This window comes from Homo sapiens, chromosome 14 (genome assembly GCF_000001405.40).
Source record: "Homo sapiens chromosome 14, GRCh38.p14 Primary Assembly".
In the NCBI taxonomy this organism is placed as follows: domain Eukaryota; kingdom Metazoa; phylum Chordata; class Mammalia; order Primates; family Hominidae; genus Homo; species Homo sapiens.
The window spans coordinates 89,983,912-90,003,148 of record NC_000014.9 but is presented as its reverse complement, the minus strand read 5'-3'; the positions used below and the strand labels follow the sequence as shown (position 1 = coordinate 90,003,148).

At 38.5% G+C, this 19,237-nt stretch overlaps 1 protein-coding gene across 22 annotated transcripts in view; it reads right to left on the bottom strand.

Annotated features, from left to right (window-relative positions):
- TDP1 (tyrosyl-DNA phosphodiesterase 1) overlaps window positions 1-19,237 on the bottom strand; it is an 89,797-nt gene that overhangs the window by 41,616 nt on the left and 28,944 nt on the right. For 18 of the 22 annotated variants that reach the window (XM_047431570.1, XM_011536942.4, XM_047431568.1 and 15 more), the window contains 6 exons: window positions 18,466-18,633; window positions 17,939-18,017; window positions 14,059-14,244; window positions 13,384-13,432; window positions 11,166-11,232; window positions 9,666-9,773 (listed from right to left, as the gene is read on the bottom strand). In XM_047431570.1, the coding sequence (XP_047287526.1) occupies window positions 9,666-9,773; window positions 11,166-11,232; window positions 13,384-13,432; window positions 14,059-14,244; window positions 17,939-18,017; window positions 18,466-18,633 (657 nt within the window). Of the gene's footprint in view, window positions 1-9,665; window positions 9,774-11,165; window positions 11,233-13,383; window positions 13,433-14,058; window positions 14,245-17,938; window positions 18,018-18,465; window positions 18,634-19,237 lie in introns of those variants that run through there. The other 4 variants (XR_007064032.1, XR_007064034.1, XR_007064035.1 and 1 more) reach the window with 1 other exon arrangement.

The following is a 19,237-nucleotide window of genomic DNA, read 5'->3' as shown; positions in this document are numbered from 1 at the left end:
CTGGCCAATACCGTGAAACCTCATCTCTACTAAAAATACAAAAATTAGCTGGGCATGGTGGCATGCGCCTGTAGTCCCAGCTACTCGGGAGGCTGAGGCAGAAGAATCGCTTGAACCCGGGAGGCGGAGGTTGCAGTGAGCCGAAATCATGCCACTGCACTCCAGCCTGGGTGAATGGCGAGACTCCATCTCAAAAAAAATAAATAAATAAAATAAAAATAACCACATATTTAGTTTAGAAAAGGCTATATATCTATGAAAAGATCTTCTTTTTTTGAGACAGGGTCTCACTCTGTTGCCTAGGCTGGAGTACAGTGGTGCCATCATGACTCACTGCAGCCTCAATCTCCCAGGCTCAAGTTATCTTCCCACCTCAGCCTCCTGAGTAGCTGGGACTGCAGGCGCACACCACCAAGCATCCCCCGCCTTTTTTTTTTTTTTTGTAGAGATGGGGTTTTACCATGTTGCTCAGGCTGATCTTGAATTCCTGAGCGCAAGTGATCCGATCGCCTTGGCCTCCCAAAGTGCTGGGATTACATGTGTGAGCCACTGCACCTAGCTTGAATACGTCTTAAGGTCATATATTTTATATGGATGTGTTACACAGGCAAAACAGATAAAGGCTTTATAAGGTGCTTTCTTAAATCCTAAGAGGCCTAATGAATATGAGAGACATGAAAAATCAAGCAGTGAACTAATATTAAACACAGCATACTGTTTAATAGGAAACAACCGCATGTTTTCTATCATCATCCTTGGGATTCCATAAATGAGATAAAAGCCAAGGGTATAAATGCGTTTTCCAAAATTTAAGTGGCAAGGCTAGTAAGTGGCAATCTCAAATTAGGACTTGGATCTTTGGACTCTATCTCAGGTTATTTCCTCCATAATATGCTGGATGATTGGGTAATGTCACCATCTGTGGACCCTGGGTTTGAAAATGTTGATGGGTTACAGCTATTAAACCCAAGCAACTAGTAGTAGTGGTTTCTGGATGAGGAGCAGGGTGGCTGGGGAACAGGAATGGGAAGACATACCTTCTTTATATACCATTTATTTTATTGTGTATGTTACCTATTGGAAAAAAATAAGTTTTTAAAAGGGTACTGATTCAAATAATTTTTGGTCAGTAACCATGTGCCATGCAGTGTTAGATGCTAAGCAGAAAAAGATGAGTAAGATCAGGCACCTTGCTCACCTGAAGCTCATGACACAGGGAAGCAAAGAGACCCATAAAGAAGCAACCAGGTCGATGCCTACAGAAGCAGTGAGAAGATATTCAAAAAATTAAAAAATAAATAAAATAAACTGGGAAGATGAAAAAAGGACCAAGCAAAAGGCGCCATGAAAACACAAAGGAAAAAATAATTATGCCTGCTGAGCTAGAAAAAGTTTCACTTTAAGGGGAGCATTTGAATTAGAAGTTGAAAGAAAAGTATAGTTATTGTAGACAGTACAGAAAAAAATAAAACCTGAGAAGCAGTCTGAAAATAAACTGCATTTAGATTAAGGGGGATACCATTCATTCAGTTCTGAGCCACTACAGGCCAGGTACTGAACTAGGCACTATATTAGCCAATCTGCCAGAAGGCACAAACATTAAAGAATAATTACCAAAGATCACAATGAGTATTCTGGTAGGAAATGAAGCATGATAATTATAAACTCATTTTTTCTCTACAGTAAAAGGAAACTTCTAATGCAGATAGTTCAACAGAAACTTCATTAAAAAAGGTTTTGGTGCAGATTTTATGATTCTTGGTGACGTGGTAACTATGGCAACCATATACTAAAACGTGACCCAGGATCTATGAAAAATGTTTTCAGTCAGAACCTCAATCACAACACATAATGAAAGAGAGGAAATGAAAACTATGATTTATATTTAAAATAATAAAAGGGAAGATTAAAAACTATATTAAGGCTAGCATTTTTATAAGATTCCAATTCCTGACCTTCTGTAGCCAGTTTTCACATTTGTGAAATGTCAACTGGATGAAACAAAGTCCAAATGATCAGGAAGTCAACATCCTCTACTTATGATGGGTAGAGACATAACAGGCAATAAGATATTACGTAGACCCAATAGGAACCATACGAAATACATTTCCTAAGGGGATGAGATTTTTTAAGATTAGGAAATCAGATCTTTTGTGATTCTATGAATCTTTTATAGGACTATTATTTTTAACAACTCTACATACCCAAGTAAATATGGTTCTCCAAAGCAGTCATGCTGCGGGGTTGGTCCCTTACTCCAGTACAGCTGCCTCTTTTGGCTCCAAGAAAGTACAGAACTTCTCAAAGAGCTTTGGAGCCAGAGGTTCAGTCTTTTGAGTGTGTACAAGGGTACTTTTGCTTAACTACAAAAAACAAACCCCAATTTTGGAAACAGTAAAAAATTAATTCCAGCCAAAATTGGAGAATAAGATGGGTAAATCGAACCAGGAAAGAAATATCAGTGGGCCAGGTGCAGTAGTTCATGCCTATAATCCCAGCACTTTGGGGGGCCGAGGTGGGCGGATCATCTGAGGTCGGGAGTTCAAGACCAGCCTGACCAACATGGAGAAACTCCATCTCTACTAAAAATACAAAATTAGCCGTGGTCTGGTGGCGCATGCCTGTAATCCCAGCTACTCAGGAGGCTGAGGCAGGAGAATTGCTTGAACCCAGGAGGCAGAGGTTGCAGTGAGCCGAGATCGTGACATTGCACTTCAGCCTGGGCAATAAGAGCGGAACTCCATCAGTGAAGTCTGTGGAAAGCAGAATCGAAAGATGGCCCCTGGTGCACATGCCTGTATATCCCCTTTCCTTGAGGATAAGCCAGAATTGTGAATATGATAGAGTTTCACTTGCATAATTTGGTTATCAATTAATTAAGTTACTCAAAAGGGAAACAATCCTGGGTGGGCCTGAGTTGGGTCCTTCCTGAGATAGATCCTCCTGCTGGTCTCCAAGAAGCATCCCATGAGGAATGCAGCAGACCACCACGGGCAGCACCTAGGAGCCGAGAACGCCGGGCTGACAGCCAACAAGAAAGCAGGAACGTCAGGCTTACAGCCACAAGCAACCGTGAGCTTGAAAGAGGACTCCCAAGCTTCAGATGAGAGCACAGCTGGGTTGACGCCTTGATTTTAGCCTGGTGAGACACTGAGCAGAGGGCTCAGCTAATCCACGCCCAGACTCCTGACCCACGGGAACCATGAGATAGTAAATTTGTATTGTTTTAAGCCCCCTTATAGTTTGTGATCATATATTACATAGCAACAGAAAACTAATGCAAGGCTGGAAACAAAGAATGTCTATTAAGAAACAATACTTATTTGTTAATGTGTCATGTCAACTTATTTTGAAAGAACTTGGAAGAGTGGAAAGAAAACTTGAGCAATGGCAATGTTTTTGGCCAAAGCACCTACTTTCAAAGGGTGATCATAATACTTTTTTGGATATGCAGCTCTAGATTATTTTTTAAAGTCTATCATGTTAAAAGTCAAAATTCATATTGCCTATAATTCTCTGTGCTTATTACTCCTATAATTTTTTTCTGGGGAATTTGTTTTAATTTTATTGTACTTAATAAAGAGGAGTGGGTTATTCATTCCAAACCCAAACATTAATACGGATCAGTAATAATAAAGTAGAAAAATATCAAAAGTTAAATTTACGTAGCTTTTGATGTATTTACCTTTGGCTAAAATCCAATTCTTAAAACTAGTATGTCTGCTACTTTGCTGACAGAGCATTAGATTTGCTGGGCATGAGCACTTCATTTGGACTAGAATCCACAGTGCTCTCTACAATCCTGCCTCACTATTCTAAAGCAAGTAAATATATTAAATGAAAGGATATATCAGTTGTTCATAACGAATTTATTCTCAAGGATGATGATATTGTCCACCAGAGCATAAAATCTAGGGAATATTTAGAAATGTATAAGGCATTTTTTTCAGCTTTCACTAGGACTTGGCAGTTAATATGTGATGGCCAGGTTATTAAATAACTTATAATGCATGGGACAATCTTGTATAACAAAAAATTATCTTGACCAAAATAACAATAGTGCCCTGTTGAGAGACACACTATTTGAGTATAAGCTGAAGTCGACTATTTAAAACCACATCTTATTCTAGAAAATCTCATGGAACAAGCATTTAGAAAAGCACTCAATTATTCCAATCAATTCAAATTATAACATTCATTGAACTGCTTTCCATAGACCAACGACTAATAAGGCCTCAGGCAACCCCGGAGACATCAAAGAAACGGTAATATCTGAAAGCAGGTAAAAAGGCAAAGTCTGGCCACCCACTACTGCTCTGAACTCACCTACCCTCCCATCCTATTGACTCCAGTAACACTCACTTTGCTGTTAATCAAACACAGTAAGCATATTCCCACTCCCCACCCCGCGTCCCTCAGCAACCCATCCACATGGCTCTTCCCCTACTTCTTTCAGGTCTCTGCATGAATGTCACCACGTCAGAAGGCCTTCCCTGACCTTCTTCCTTAAGGAGCAGCCTCCCTCCCCAACCCGAGCACTCACACCCTACAGGACAGTGTTTGAGGGTGGGGACTCTGGATTCTTGGGCACATTGTTTAACCTCTGTGCTTCAGTTCTTCCATCTGAAAAGGGGATTAATGGATACACTGTAGAACGGCTATAAGAATTACATGAATTAATATATACATATATATACATATACATATACATACATACATACATACATATATATATATATATATATATATATATATATATATATATATATATATATAATGTGCTTGGAACTGTGCCTGGAACTGCTGGTTAAGAACTACATGTTAGCTCTGAAAATTTAAAAACAATAACCTAAACCAAATTTGAAATAAAGCTTTTAACTCATTTCATTTGATAGCAAAACTTGATCTTAACTCATTGGGCAACAAAAGTTGAACTAAGATGACATGGGGCTACCTGTGATCTTTGCTTCCAAAATGTTGTATTATGAAGTGTTGGTCCAGATACCACTAGGGATATTAACAGACAGTATAGGTACCATATTATCTTTCTAAAATCCAAATACTGAACTACATCTGGTACCAAGAATTTAGAATAAAGGATTGTGCACCTAAATTATCATTCTATTTTTTCTCTATAGCACTTACCACCATTTGCATACATAAACACACTTCTTTGCTTTTTGTGTAATTCCCAGCACCAGAACATAAAAGTCAAGATGTTTTATTGTTTATTGCATTCTTAGCACCTAGAAAAGTGTGTGGTGCATAGTAGGTGCTCAGTAGTTATGTGCTGGATAAATGGTTAAATCTGATACCCAAAATAGAATATATATATAAAACATTTTTCTTAGGTAGAAGAAAAATTATGTAATGGAGAATGTGTGACCAGTTGCTCTTCAACCCAGGAGGGATGGCTTGAATCCAATTCATTTGTTTGGCAATGGAACACCTGGTAGGCATGAAAAGCCCACCTGATATGTATTTCTTGTATGTTCCTCAATGCCCAGGCGTTGATCCGCTATATTCTCCTCTGGAAGTCGCAAAGGATTACGGTGTTAACAATCAGTACTAACCAAAACTCCAAAACATACTATATGTACACCAAACTTTTAAGTTCATCTCCAACAAACAATTCCACCTGAAGTCTCCACCATGATAAATCAATCTTCAATCAAATTCACCATCATCCCACTGTGGTAGGCCAGTTCCATTCCCTGACTTCTATACTGATATCAGTGACAATCCCCATCTACATACCCCAAACTCAGGAATCACCTTTGAGGGCCCTCCCATGTTCCATTATGCAGTCTAGGCAGTGCTTTCATGGTTACCACTTCAATCCTAGGCTTCATCAGCCTCCACATGTCAGGCACCTGGCCAGTCACCAGGGTATGCTGAACAAGACAGGCATGGACTTGGCCTCACAGAGTCTAGAGGGGAAGCCAGATAATTACACAAGCAACCACAGTGAATAGGGAAAGAACGCTGACAATGCAGGAATCTAGGGCATTATGGAAGCCACCAGGCTCCAGAAGTGATGTTTTGGCTAAAAACCCACCTATGTAGAATAGTCAAAAAGCATTACAAGTGCAATTAACTAATATGTATACAATGAATTCTTTGGTAAATCTCTTTCATGCCAATGTAAATTCTGTGAGAACCTCATCTTAATTACTCTATTCTTGCCACAGCGGGCAATACATATTTGCTGAGTAATGGGTAGAACTGCCTCAACTCTGCCGCCTTATTCCTCATTGAGTGGAGGGAGGGGATAACGCCACCTCACAGCTCTTGTGGGGACTGAAAGACACTACTATGTAGGTAAAGCACCAGAAGTGTCTGCCACATGGTGGCTACTTAATGCAGGTCAATTCTCTCCCCTGCCCCTTTCTTCTTACTCCCACAGGTCACCATAGTTGGCACCTTAAACCTTCATAGTTGCTGTGCAGTTGAGAAGTCTGAGGCTCAGAGAGGTTAAGAAACTTGTCCAAGGCAAGACTTGTTCAATAGTAGACATGACCATCTCATCTAGTACTGTCTGACAATGTTAAAGCTCATGCTTGAGAGACAAAATAGTGAGGTAGGAGCTGTGAGCTCCACTGGTGGCACACGGATCTAAGGATCTGGACAGGGAGGGACCAGCAGAGGCTGAAAGAGGCTCCAGGCGGAGATGGGACCTGAACACAACTCTTAAAAGATGAACAGCAACTGAAGAAAGAGAGAAAAGGGATGAAAGGATCAGGAGAAGAAACTACATGGGCTGTTGGCTGGATGACTTCAGGGGCAAAGGAGGCTAGCCTGGCTTCTTCTCAAGGCTCCTCTTGGGGATTAATGGGTAAGAATGGTGAAAATGGTGTGGCTGGGGCATGACTTCCAAACTGAGGAATCTGTACTTTAGCCTACAGGACGTGGGGAATTCTGAACATGGAACAATGAGGAAACTCTATGTTTCAGAAAGGTGAAGGGGCATGGGCAACCAGGATGAGTGGCTTATGAAGAACATCCACGTGATGACACAACAGATAGGAAACCCTTTCAGAAGTCCAGAGGATAAGTTTCTGACCTGGTAATTGCAAGGACTGGAAGAGGAAACTTTTGAAACATTTCAAAGATAAATAGGCTTTGACAGCTATTTCCAAAGCATCCATGTGCCCACCTCAAGCACATAATTGGTCTCTTCCTATTGTAATTATTTCTGTGTCTGGCTCCTCCATCAGAGACTGTGAGCATCTAAAAGACACTATCTAAATCTTCTGTTTTATCCTGAGTGCCTGGCATCCACAGGAGGACCTCAGCAAATGTTTGCCAAACATTTGAGGGAATAGTGAAAGAGACATTCAGGCTTTAAGCTTGGTAATAAGAGACAGGTGCCACAAGGGCAAAGAAGAATTCTGGGAAAAGAAATCTCCATCTACATGAGTTCGGTTTGGGAACATTCTTTCTGACAGGTTCAGAAAAAGTGACAGACAAAACAAAATGTCCAAACCTAATCAAGGGAGCTCCTTACTGGTAGATGCCATTTATATTTGGAAACTATACTTTCCTTTATTATGGAAGGGCTGAGAGAGTGGGTTCTATGTATCTAAGTTGTTATTTAAGTTATGTTTCTTAGAAATCCTTTAATCATATTGGAATGCTCAATGTCCTTTTCCTCTTTTATACAGCAATCAAAGTAAAGCCTGACACAATTTCTTTGGAATTAACTAGTCTTTGTAGAAAACAGGCACACTAAAACTCTATGTTGATTAAGAGGGGGCATCAGACAGTAGAGGAGAGGTGTGCTCCTATCTGGGTTCCATCACTTATTACTGCATGATAGTAGGCAGCTTATTAATCACTCTGTGCCTCCTGGTCCTCATGCAGCTGTTGTGAGAATTAAATAAGTAAATACACATGATTGCTCACCCAGAACAGTCTGGCATATTGAAATTACTGAATGAATGTTGTTGCTATTCATCTTTAAACATTTAGGCAAGTAGATACAGCTTTCAGTCCAGTTATTACAGAATAAAACTAGAAGCTACAAAGCCATAATGACAAATTTCAAATTCTTACAATAAACTTCAAATAACTATAATTTGCTTAATTTAGTAACAGCCATTCGACATTAAAGCAGATATTCACAGTACAAAACTGACAAATATTAAATGAGTAAACTGACAGTGGATGTTTTTTGACTTAACTTTAGAAAATACATGCCAAAGGTATCTGAACCTGTGTTTCCTTTTACATAGCCTCATGGAATCACTCAGATTTTCCCTGAAAATCCTGTGTATTTTCCCACCTCCATGGCCTTTGTCCTCACTAGTTCCTTCTAATCCGTCTGGGTTTTCTCTCAGGCTTACTTCTAGGCCTACTTACAATAGCACCTCTTTACTTAGTTTAGCTGATCTCTCATTTGATCCTGCCTCTGCCCCAGCAAGGCAATACATTTCTAACAGTGCTTCCACTATGGTCCTCACACAGGTAAACAACTAGGATACAACATCACATGCATGGCAGGGCTCGTGCTTCCTGGCTCTTTGTGTTCCCACAGTCAAGCACACACTGCCATTGAACTGAACTACAAAAACTTTGCCTTTAGAAAAAGATTACTCACAGGGTTACTTTAATCTCCACTTCCCTTAATGCCCTTGAAACAGAATCAATAATACGTAATTTCTGTGAAGTACATCACCTTTTTATTACACTTTGAGGGAAAACAACACCCAAACAGACATTAAATTAAACTTTTCCAATAAAGTAGAAAGAGACTCAAGATTGCAACATCAAGTCTTACTAAATCTCCAAGCTGCTGGTTTGCCCTATGGATTTTGGACTTGCCAGCCCCTACAATTGCATGAGCCAATTCCTTAAAATAAATCTTTCTCTCTCGCCAAGAAGATGTAAGTGGCTCTTTTGTTTAAAAGTTTGTTCATGAGTGCTGTTCCTCTCTTAAAGAAATAATTCTACTCTGTGATACTTTAATTAGTTGCTATTGACATTAATTATGTTACTGAATCATAAAGAGATGCCTAATCGTTGGGTTCAGCCTGGGAGTCAGGAACTAAAGTTCTAGTTTTCAAAGGGCATAGCAATTTATCTTCCTATAAAAATAGACACAAAAATGCCAACAGGTAGGTGGTTTCTTATAGGGTGATGAAAATATTCTAAATTTAGATTATGGTAATGGTTACATAATTCTGTGACTATCCTAAACCATTAAACAGTAGAGACTTAATGGGCAGATTTTATGGTACGTGAATTACACCTTAAAGATGTTTTAGAAAAGGACACATAAGAGATTTGATTGCTTCAGATTTCAATTACCTAAGGAGAAACTAATTAAGAAAAAAATATTAATTTTAACATTTCATTATTCTTCTGTACTTACCCCAAATGTCAATTTGCATAACCCCTATTGAGGTATTAAATAACAGAAGTAAATGTTAACTTTATGCAAATCTGATAAACATCTAGACTTATAAGCAAAAGTAGGTGATGATCATATACTTTACAAAGGGATTAGTCATGGGATGCCTTTAAATAAGGCTCATGTAACACAAACATACTGAAAACTAATGACAACTCACTAATCACTTTTTAGAAACCCATTCAACATTCAGAGCAAGAATTATGAACACATTAAAAAGATTTCTCCCATCAGGAATGTAAGGACTATTTACCTTGTGACAAGGAACCAAGCAATTTTACTGAAGTCTGGAGAAGGCCTCATATATGTCTTAATATGTGGCATGGCATTGCTGCGGCCAGAAGTCTCAGCTGACCATTTGCTAGTGACAGAAAAGACAAAAGTTACTAATTATGAAATAAAATTGATCATAATCCTAATATTAGGAAACTGCATGAAAACAAAGAGCCTATTATCTAAAAATCAACAGTGGCTACACGACTCTGTGACCTGTGAGATTTTATGAAACTCCATTCAAGTAACGCATGCCCATTTTAGAATTATAAACTTCCCACTTTTCACAAGAAGCACTGCAACCTTTCAGCATATAGCCTTTCCATTTTTGCCATGAACATACATACATGCATACATATTATTTCTGTTGTGCTTTTAACAGCATGTGTGTATATGTCTCCTGCCTGAACTGTGAGCTCCTTAAAGGGAAGAATCATGCTTCCACGGTGTGTTATGAGTAGAGGCTCAGCAAAAGCTTGTTGAATGAAACAAAATACAAAAAAGGCAAAATACAAACAGTATATGAAAAAAATGAATGTTGAAAAGCGAGGGCAGAAATACTTTAGTCAAATGCTGACATTCACAAATCTGAGTTTGGTTTCTAAGTTTCCAATATTGCAGACTATGGTTCTATGGGAACCTATATCATGAAGCAACAATCTTTACTTATGAATATAAGAGGATGGTCCCTCCAGATTAACAGATGGTCTGTGAAAACAGAATCAGGTTTAGGTAGGTACCATCACTGTCTTCATTCAAGTGAATTTAATAATATAATATTTAAATGAGTTCAATTTAAAGAAATGTCCTCTGTAAGGAAAAACCTCTCAAGAAAGCACTAAAGAAAAGCTCTAGGATTACACACTGACTTACAGTTGAAAGCTATAATTCAAAGTAATTCTGCTTTCATTTCTGGCTAACCAGCACAGCAAACACCTGTTGAGACAAGCATGAAACAGACTGGCCTTGCATATGCAGGCTGTGCAACTGCTGTGGCTGGAGGAGGGTGAAGGACATTCCCTTCACTTGTCCACTCAGCATTTACTGAACTCTGACAACACGCCAGATACTGTCCTGTATCCTCAGGAAACGGCAGCAAAGAATCTGCCCTCAACAAGCTTGCAGCTGCATGTGTGACGGTACAGACAGAATAATGATACTTTATATTTTGGAAAAATGAACTAAAATGCTGCTTATGTAAATTCTAAACTACCCAACATGATCTTCTATTTGTCTTTCTTGGCATGCCAATATTTAAATAGAAACCTCACAGCAATAAATTTTCCTCTTTGGTATTAAAAACCTATTCCAAAAAAAATTCAAAACCTTGTTTTAAATTATTTCTATCACTAACATATGTAGATGAAAGAATATAGCTATATTACATAAAGTTCCTTTTAAAAAAAAAAACAAACCAGTGACATAAATAACACTCTAATTCCTAAAGAAGCAATAGCAGCAGTCTAAACCAATTACTTACTGAAAATAGGAATGCAGCCAATTCTGTTTTTCAGCTGTCTGGATGCTATAGGGAAGAGAGCCCCCAGCTTTTAAAAGAAAAATAAAACAATAAAAATTATGAAATATAATTTGAGGATCCCTCATTAAGAGGAAAATCTACAATAAACAGCAAGAAGGTAACAGGAAAAAAACTACTTCTATTACTTCATCTTATAGAATAGTTATTTGAAAGAAAATGTCTATAGTTGCACTAGATATGTTCTCTTAACGAGGTTTCCTTCCTTCAGTATTAACTTTATGCAAATCTTATAAACATCCAGACTTATAAGCAAAAGTAAGTGATGATCATATACTTTACGAAGTATAGTCATGGGATGCCTTTAAATAAGGCTCATGTAACACAAACATACTGAAAACTAATGACAACTCGCTAATCACTTTTTAGAAACCCATTCAACATTCAGAGCAAGAATTATGAACACATTAAAAAGATTTCTCCCATCAGGAATGTAAGGACTATTTACAATTCTTCTGTGTCGAGAATAAAAGTAAATTACCTCATTGAGGACGAGAACGCACCAAGTAAAGCAGAATAGAGCTTTTTCCTGCAAAAGCTTCAACTGCAAATAACTAAAACCACTCAGTTTCAAAGCCAGTTATAAAACAGCTTTGTTAAAAATACCACGTTGTTCCCCATTAAAAGTACACTTTGAAAACAAAAAATTATAATTGAATTACTTGGTGATGATAATTTAACATCTATACCTGCACAGATCTGAAGTGTTAGAATCCTGGCCCATCCTACCCTCCTTATGCAAATAAGACACAGCTGGACAGCCTCTGTTTTGCCCAAGACCGTGGGACTTGGGGAGGAAAATCTAGGACAAGATGTCAGTGCCCCTTCTACTTCACCTTTACACACTATTTCCAAACAGACTTTGTACTGGCTGAGCAGATTCTGACAAACAGAAAAGAATGGCTAAAAAACAAAACGTTCAGTAAACAGTTCAGTTTGAAAAAAGGAATTCTAAAAGCCTTATTCTTGCAAAGAGAATAAAGAAAGTTCCAAGTGGAAATACAATTAGAAGTCAATGCTTGCTCATTTTTAAAATGAAGAAAACTCCACAGTGGATTATCAGTGACTTTCCACACACATGCTGGAACTTCTCCACACTGATCTACACCCAAAGAGATCTATATCCAAACATCTCTGACATATCAAATAGGGCATGTCCTGTCTTCAACTTCAAATAACTAAAAACATTCAGTTTCAAAGCCAGTTATAAAACAACTTTGTTAAAAATACCATGTTGTTCCCCCATTAAAAGTACACTTTGAATGAATCTAGCCTATTAGAGGCACAAAAAGAGTACCAAAGAAAAACCACCACTGTATCCCTGGGTCTCGGTGAAGTAATTTTGGTTTTGCCATTAAAAAAAAAAAAAAAAAAAAAAAGGGCTAATACACTCCAAACGCTAGCGAAATTTTCCTGGCAGATTTTTCTTATTGAGCCTGATAAGCAATAAATGGACTAAATTAGTTTAATTCAGTGCATTCTGCTTTCAGCCATCAACAAATGCCAATTAGACTTTGCTTTTTCCAGAGACAACCACTATGTGGGTTTTCAGTTAACATCTCCTGATTACACTAACTAGCGGGGCTGCTGAATTCTAAATAAAGGTTTAGTGCCTGGTATGAGTATAAGGGAAAGGGACAGCGTTGACAGATGCCTACAAAAAATCTTAGGCATTTGCAGATGACACCCTTGACAGAATAGACATATCAACAAAGTTATACCAAAGGCAAAATTTTAAAAATTCCGGACCTTAAATGTTATCTATAGCAGGCATTTAAAAGGACCACATGGTACCTCAAACACAGGAAGGGAGGATATGCAGAGATGAGAGGAAGGTATGTTGGATAAGCTCTGAAAACGCATTGAAGAGTAAGGGGAAGCTGATTTTATTTGGCTATCTTGTCTGGACAACCAACCTGCTGGTTACCTTACTGGTAAAAATGAAAACTATTGTGCAGAGGGTTTCTGTAAGGATTAATAACACACCCAAACTGAAGGGTATCATCTGCGGAATGCAGAGCTTCATATTGCCTATTTTCATGATCCTTATATAGTTAAGTGAAAACCATCTCCAAATTTCTACGCAATAGTAGTAAAACTTTACCAGGACATTCATGAAATATACATAAAACACAATCAAGACAGTCTCCCCAAGAATTACCAGGATATCCTTCTAAACTGGTCCGCACATTTTCCACAGAAGGATAGATCTAAAAATAAGAGGAAAACAATAAAACTCGGAATGTACCATGTTGAAGAAAAGGAATGATAATCAGCTTTTAAGGAAATGAAAATCTGTTAAAAATACTTTTAAATTAGAAAATATGCTTTAAATTTTTAAAAGTTCTCATCTTATGAAAAAAATGAACTAGTAATTAAACAACAGGAACCATATTTGATGTAAAATTATACTTCAATTGGAGTATTTTTTCCTTTGAAATTCAAGTTAACATTGAATGGAAAATTAATTATTAATTCACAGTTCTCTAAATAATTAAAATGCCCATAATTCTGCTGGCTGTGCTACATCAAATATTTTCTACCTTGGTTCAACAACCTGAAAGAAAGGATAGAAAAATCACAGGCCAGTCTGTGTCTGCAATGGAGCTCCTGAACGAATCGGCAAGCTCTTAGCACTGGATATTAAGGCAAAGGCAACTTGATTACAAATGACGATGCTAATGTACTGCTCTTTCCGCACCCCGCCCCCGCCACGCCAAAAAAAAAAAAAGAATCACAGAATAAAACATCTCTCCATTACAAAGAGGACCAATTTTCAATTCTTCTCCTGTGTAGAGAATAAAAGTAAACTACCTCAATGAGGACGAGAACTCACCAAGTAAAGAGGAACAGAGCTTTTTCCTGGAGTCTTGCTTTCCTTCCCCAGTGTCAGCATGCTCTCTTTAAACTCAGAACATAACCACTTTGATTCATCGGCTCCCAAGGAGCCAACGCTTGAAAACTGACCTACGACAGGCCAGGACTCTGCGTTAGGCATGGATGAGGCATGGTCTTTCAGAAGCTGGGAAAGAATAAAAGTGAATGTTAAAGTGACTCAAATAATCTTAACAGAAATGCTGCAATATTTGAAAACAGTTTTCTGCTCTTGGAAAGCCTAATTAACAAGAAAAGCTGAAAATACTAGTGATCAATTTCATACCCACACATACATACTTCTTCTTTGGGAAATTTTTTTTAAATACTAAAAACATATTTTTAATGGAGTAGATGGACAGAAGTTCTCCTTTCCAAAATTATTTGATTTGTACTAAAAGCAAAAACAGGTTTAAAAAGGCCCATTTCAGAAGAAATTTCAGATAAACCACCAACTTGTCATATGAAATTAGATTTTTTTTACTTGAAATCACAAGTGTTTAATGCAGCTTTGATGCTATGAAATATGTATTTGGTCTTCATCCCTGTTTCCTGGCATGCAACTACTAAAATCCTTGGGATCTCCAATGTGAAGTCTTTCTGTATGTTAATGAGACTGATGGCTGGCAGACCCTAGGCAACTTCAGGATGGGGGCTGGTCACGATAAAGACCAAGGCATGATTAGAAGATTGGGACTTTTGGCACAACCCCCCATCCTCCAGGGATAGGAGGGGCTAAAGGTTGAGCTGATCAGCAATGGCCAGTGATGTAATCAACCATGCCTATGTAATGAAGCCTCCATTAAAAACCCAAAAGGACAGGGTTTAGGGAGCTTTCCGACAGCTGAACACCTGCGGGCTGCTGGACAGTGGTGGTGCATCCAGAGAGGGCATGAAAGCTCTGTGCCCCTTCCCCTATACCTTGCTCTATGCATCTCTTCATCTGTATCCTTTATAATAAAGCAGTAAATGTTAAGTGTTTCCCTGAGTTCAGCGAGCTGCTCTAGCAAATGAAGCCCAAAGAGAGGGTCATGGGAACCTCAACTTGAAGCTGGTCAGTCAGAAGTTCTGGAGGCCCAGACTTGCAACTGGTGTCTGAGGGAGAGGGGCAGTCTTGTGGGATGGAGCCCTCAATCTATGGGATCTGAGGCTACCCCCATATTTCTTTAAAAAAAATGTATTTTTTCAATTATTTTTTCCCTACTATTCCCCAACTCCTTCCCCACTTCCTACTTAGACCTTTAGAAATACAATATAACCTTTTACCTTTCCTTTACTAGACACTCCCTACAGGGCAAGTTCATCTATGTGCTTAGAAGCTCCAGAGCAGAACTTTCTCCCACCAGGGGACTGCCTCGAGGGACAGCAGTAAATTTACAACCCAAAGTATGCCCACTAAGAAACTCTCCCACCTGGAGAGTTTCAGCCATCTTTACAACCTAGTTCTGCCCAGGAAGAGACCAAATGGACTGCCTGGTAGAGAAGGCAGAAAGTAAGGAAGTATCCACCTGCTTGCTTCCTCCTCTGCGTGCCATTCATGCTAGGCCCCTTTTAAAAGTGTCCACTTTCTGCTCCAAGAGCAAAGCAGTATCCTTAAGACAGGAAGCCTGTACTTATTCCTCTAAGCCAGCTTTGGAATAAAAAATAACTTTTTTTATACCATCACTTTCTTTATATCATCACTTTCTTTAAAGTCACTTTCTTTATACATCTCCAGGAAGACAGCATAAGAACTGAAGTGAATTAGAGGACACCCAGCTGGTGTCCCCTGCTTAGTGTATGAGGAAAACCCCACACATATTTGGTCACAGTTTTCTGTGTTGACTGTTGTAGTGTGAGAGCAGAGGAAACAAAGTGAGTTTTTTGCTACCAACACTTAAACAATACCTAGAAGGATTACATATTTTGACTCCTATCATTTGAAAGAGGCTTAACAGTCATAGTTTAACACTTGAGCTCCAGGCAGCTGTGATGGTCTAAACATAAAAGAGAATATTTACATACACATACCAGCTAAAACACTGCAGAAGACTGATCTGCATTTCCTGCTTTGATAATTATGCAAAGCTGCAGAAACAATTAAGAAAACATTTGGAAACTGTATCCACTTAAATATGTACTGAATGCCTACCTAGAGGGCTGGAGAGAGCAGAAAAATAAACTGTAGCTCATCTGACTGACGTTTTGTTTAATTTAATATGTATTATTTTCCTTAACACAGGTTAGGCATTAATACTTACACATACACTTCCCAAAAAGCCCAAAGTTTCCATGTCCACCTTGGGTACAGCATGGTGTAGGAAACAGAGCTGAACCGACAACTTACAACACCCAGTTTCTACTGCAGTGCTCAGCCCCTGAAGGGCCACCCTATCCTGGACAAGCCTCTGGCTTAGATTTACACTTCAGTGGAAACAGGCACCTAATCACCGGCCGGCCTTCCTGGAAGAAAGCTGTGGTGCAACATGAGCAACTGTGTGTAAAAAGTGGTTTGAAAACTCTTAACATACAGTTGAACTTTCAGTATCAGATGGTGATCACACATAATACGTGCTATTATCTAGCCTATCTAAACCATTAGACATTTGTCCACAAACAACTGTGTATGTGCACTGAAGACTTACTGTGTGCCCTGTACTATTTTACATTCATCATTTCATTTAATCCTCACAATCACGGGAGGGAAGTACTATTATTATGTCCACTTTATAGATGACAACCGATGTATGTTAAGGAACAAGTCGAGGTCACACGGCTTGTAGATAACAAAGCAGGGTTTGAACCCAGCTATGGATATCTGCCTCCAAGACTGGGCACAGGCCAATGTGCTGAACTTCCTCTCTAGGCCAAGACATAAAGATGTCTTCAAGATCTTGCCTGCTTTAAGCTGTGGTCTCATTTCATAAAAGGAAATTAAAATAAAAAGTTTCATTAACCAAGGGAAAATTCTTAGACTTTAAATAGTTTATGGAATAAGAGGTTAAGGCTTTTAAGAAAGCCACTTTAGGGAATTTATTTATTTTTTTGAGACGGAGTCTCGCTCTGTTGCCCAGGTTGGAGTGCAATGGTGTGGTCTCAGCTCACTGCAATCTCCGCCTCCCGGGTTCAAGCGATTCTCCTGCCTCAGCCTCCCGAGTAGCTGGGATTACAGGTGCCTGCCATCATGCCCGGCTAATTTTTGTATTTTTAGTAGAGACAGGGTTTCACCACGTTGGCCAGGCTGGTCTTGAACTCCTAACCTTGTGATCCGCCCCTCTCAGCCTCCCAAAATGCTGGGATTACAGGCGTGAGCCACCACACCTGGCCAGGGAATTTATTAAGGTCAGTAAACCACCTAAAAAGAGATGAAAAAAACTTTAATCTTCAACTTATTTTATGACCTTTCTTCGTGCATTTTCATATCAGCAGCAAGTATTATTTTTGAATTTGTTTTCTTAAGGGCACTGGTTTAATAATCAAAATATATTATAGCTCAGTTGTAGTCTTTACTCAACATTTTCTGTTTGTTGAATTTATATCTTAAAACTTGATATGCTGAACAATCAAAAGCTATAATCAAAGCTACAGTATGTGTATGAATAGGAAGCCTCTATCTTTATTACAATATAAAAACTAGAAAAGGTCTATATATTTATGCCATTAACAGCCTACAGCTATAAAAGAGGCAAAACACATTAAAAAGCAGTAATTACTAAGAATTATAATTATCAATTTATCAAGTATCTATTTGCCCAGAATTGTGCAGAAATATTGTGAAGCTGCATCAAAATATATAATTATTTTAAAAGAGAGAATATACATTAAATTTTTTAAAAATGTTAAAATAGTAAAAGTTCTGTTACCTTCTTAAGTCTAAAATGTCCCCAATTATCTTTTTGACTTCCTTGAAAGCGTCCTGGGGTTGAACCAATAAGATAAACACTAAAAAGACATAAAAACACAAGTTATAAAATATAGTGATGTGCTTTGGGCACCAAAAAAAATGACAAAATACACATGAAAACTAATATAATCAAGAAATGATCTAAGAGCCAATCCATTTTCTTGAATTGACTCTCAAATTCATTTTCAAGCAAATCAACTAATGATGGAATGCCTACAAGATGTAAAGTACCAGACAAAGAACTCAATAATTGTGAGAGTAACCCAGTGGGAGGCTAAGGTAAACATGAGGATTCACTGGCTGTCACTTTAATGCCTGAGAACCACAAGATACAGATGTGATAGAATCTGCTCATCCCCTCATCACATCCTGAAGCTTGGCTAGATTTCACCCCACCTCTTTCCAGGCCCCTGCATGCCAGACCTCATGAGGCTCCCAAGGTATAAGCCTATCATAAGCACCCCAAATTGATAAGCTGACACATACTTTGTTTCAGAGAGATCGTGCTTGTGAATGACATCTATCCACTCCTTGAGAGAAGGGGCATTATAAGCCATCAAGTAACTGATGAGATCAGCTTTAAAATGTGTTGGCGACTCTCCAGATTTGTGGGTTCCATCAGCAATTCGTGGGTATAAGGGGCTCAACCATATTCTGGAATTAAAAAAATAACCTTTAACAGTCAGGCACACAACTGATCATAATGATCTCTGTATCGATTATGCCTTCATCCTAAGAAAGAGGTGAATTCTCGGTATCTCCACATGGTAAGTAATCTTAGGAAACATGAAACATAAATCTGAGAACACCACTCCAATGGTTTCTCATCACATTCAGAATTATTCCTGAATGTCTTGCCATGAATTTAAGATTCAGTAAGACCTGGGCTCTGCCCACCTCTTCCAACCCACATCCCTCCATGCTCCCTCTCACTTGCCAAACCTTCCTTATTGCTCCTCTTACCTCTGCACCTATATATTGCTTTCTAAGACTTGATGACAAGAGTTAAGAATTCTACTCTTAACGGTTAAAGCAAATCCATGCTACTAGTGGTAATCCCAAGCAAGAATTTGCCCTTGTCTGCATCAATGCAGCTCTTCAGCCAAATGTGAAATAAGAATTGTGTTATCTATACCAAAAGTGCATGTGAAAAATCTATTTTCAATTAACAAACCCATTTTCATAACGTAGGTCCTATAGCAGCATATTTTTATGTCTTATACTTTCTGGTGCCTGGATTAAGTATATATCACATTCA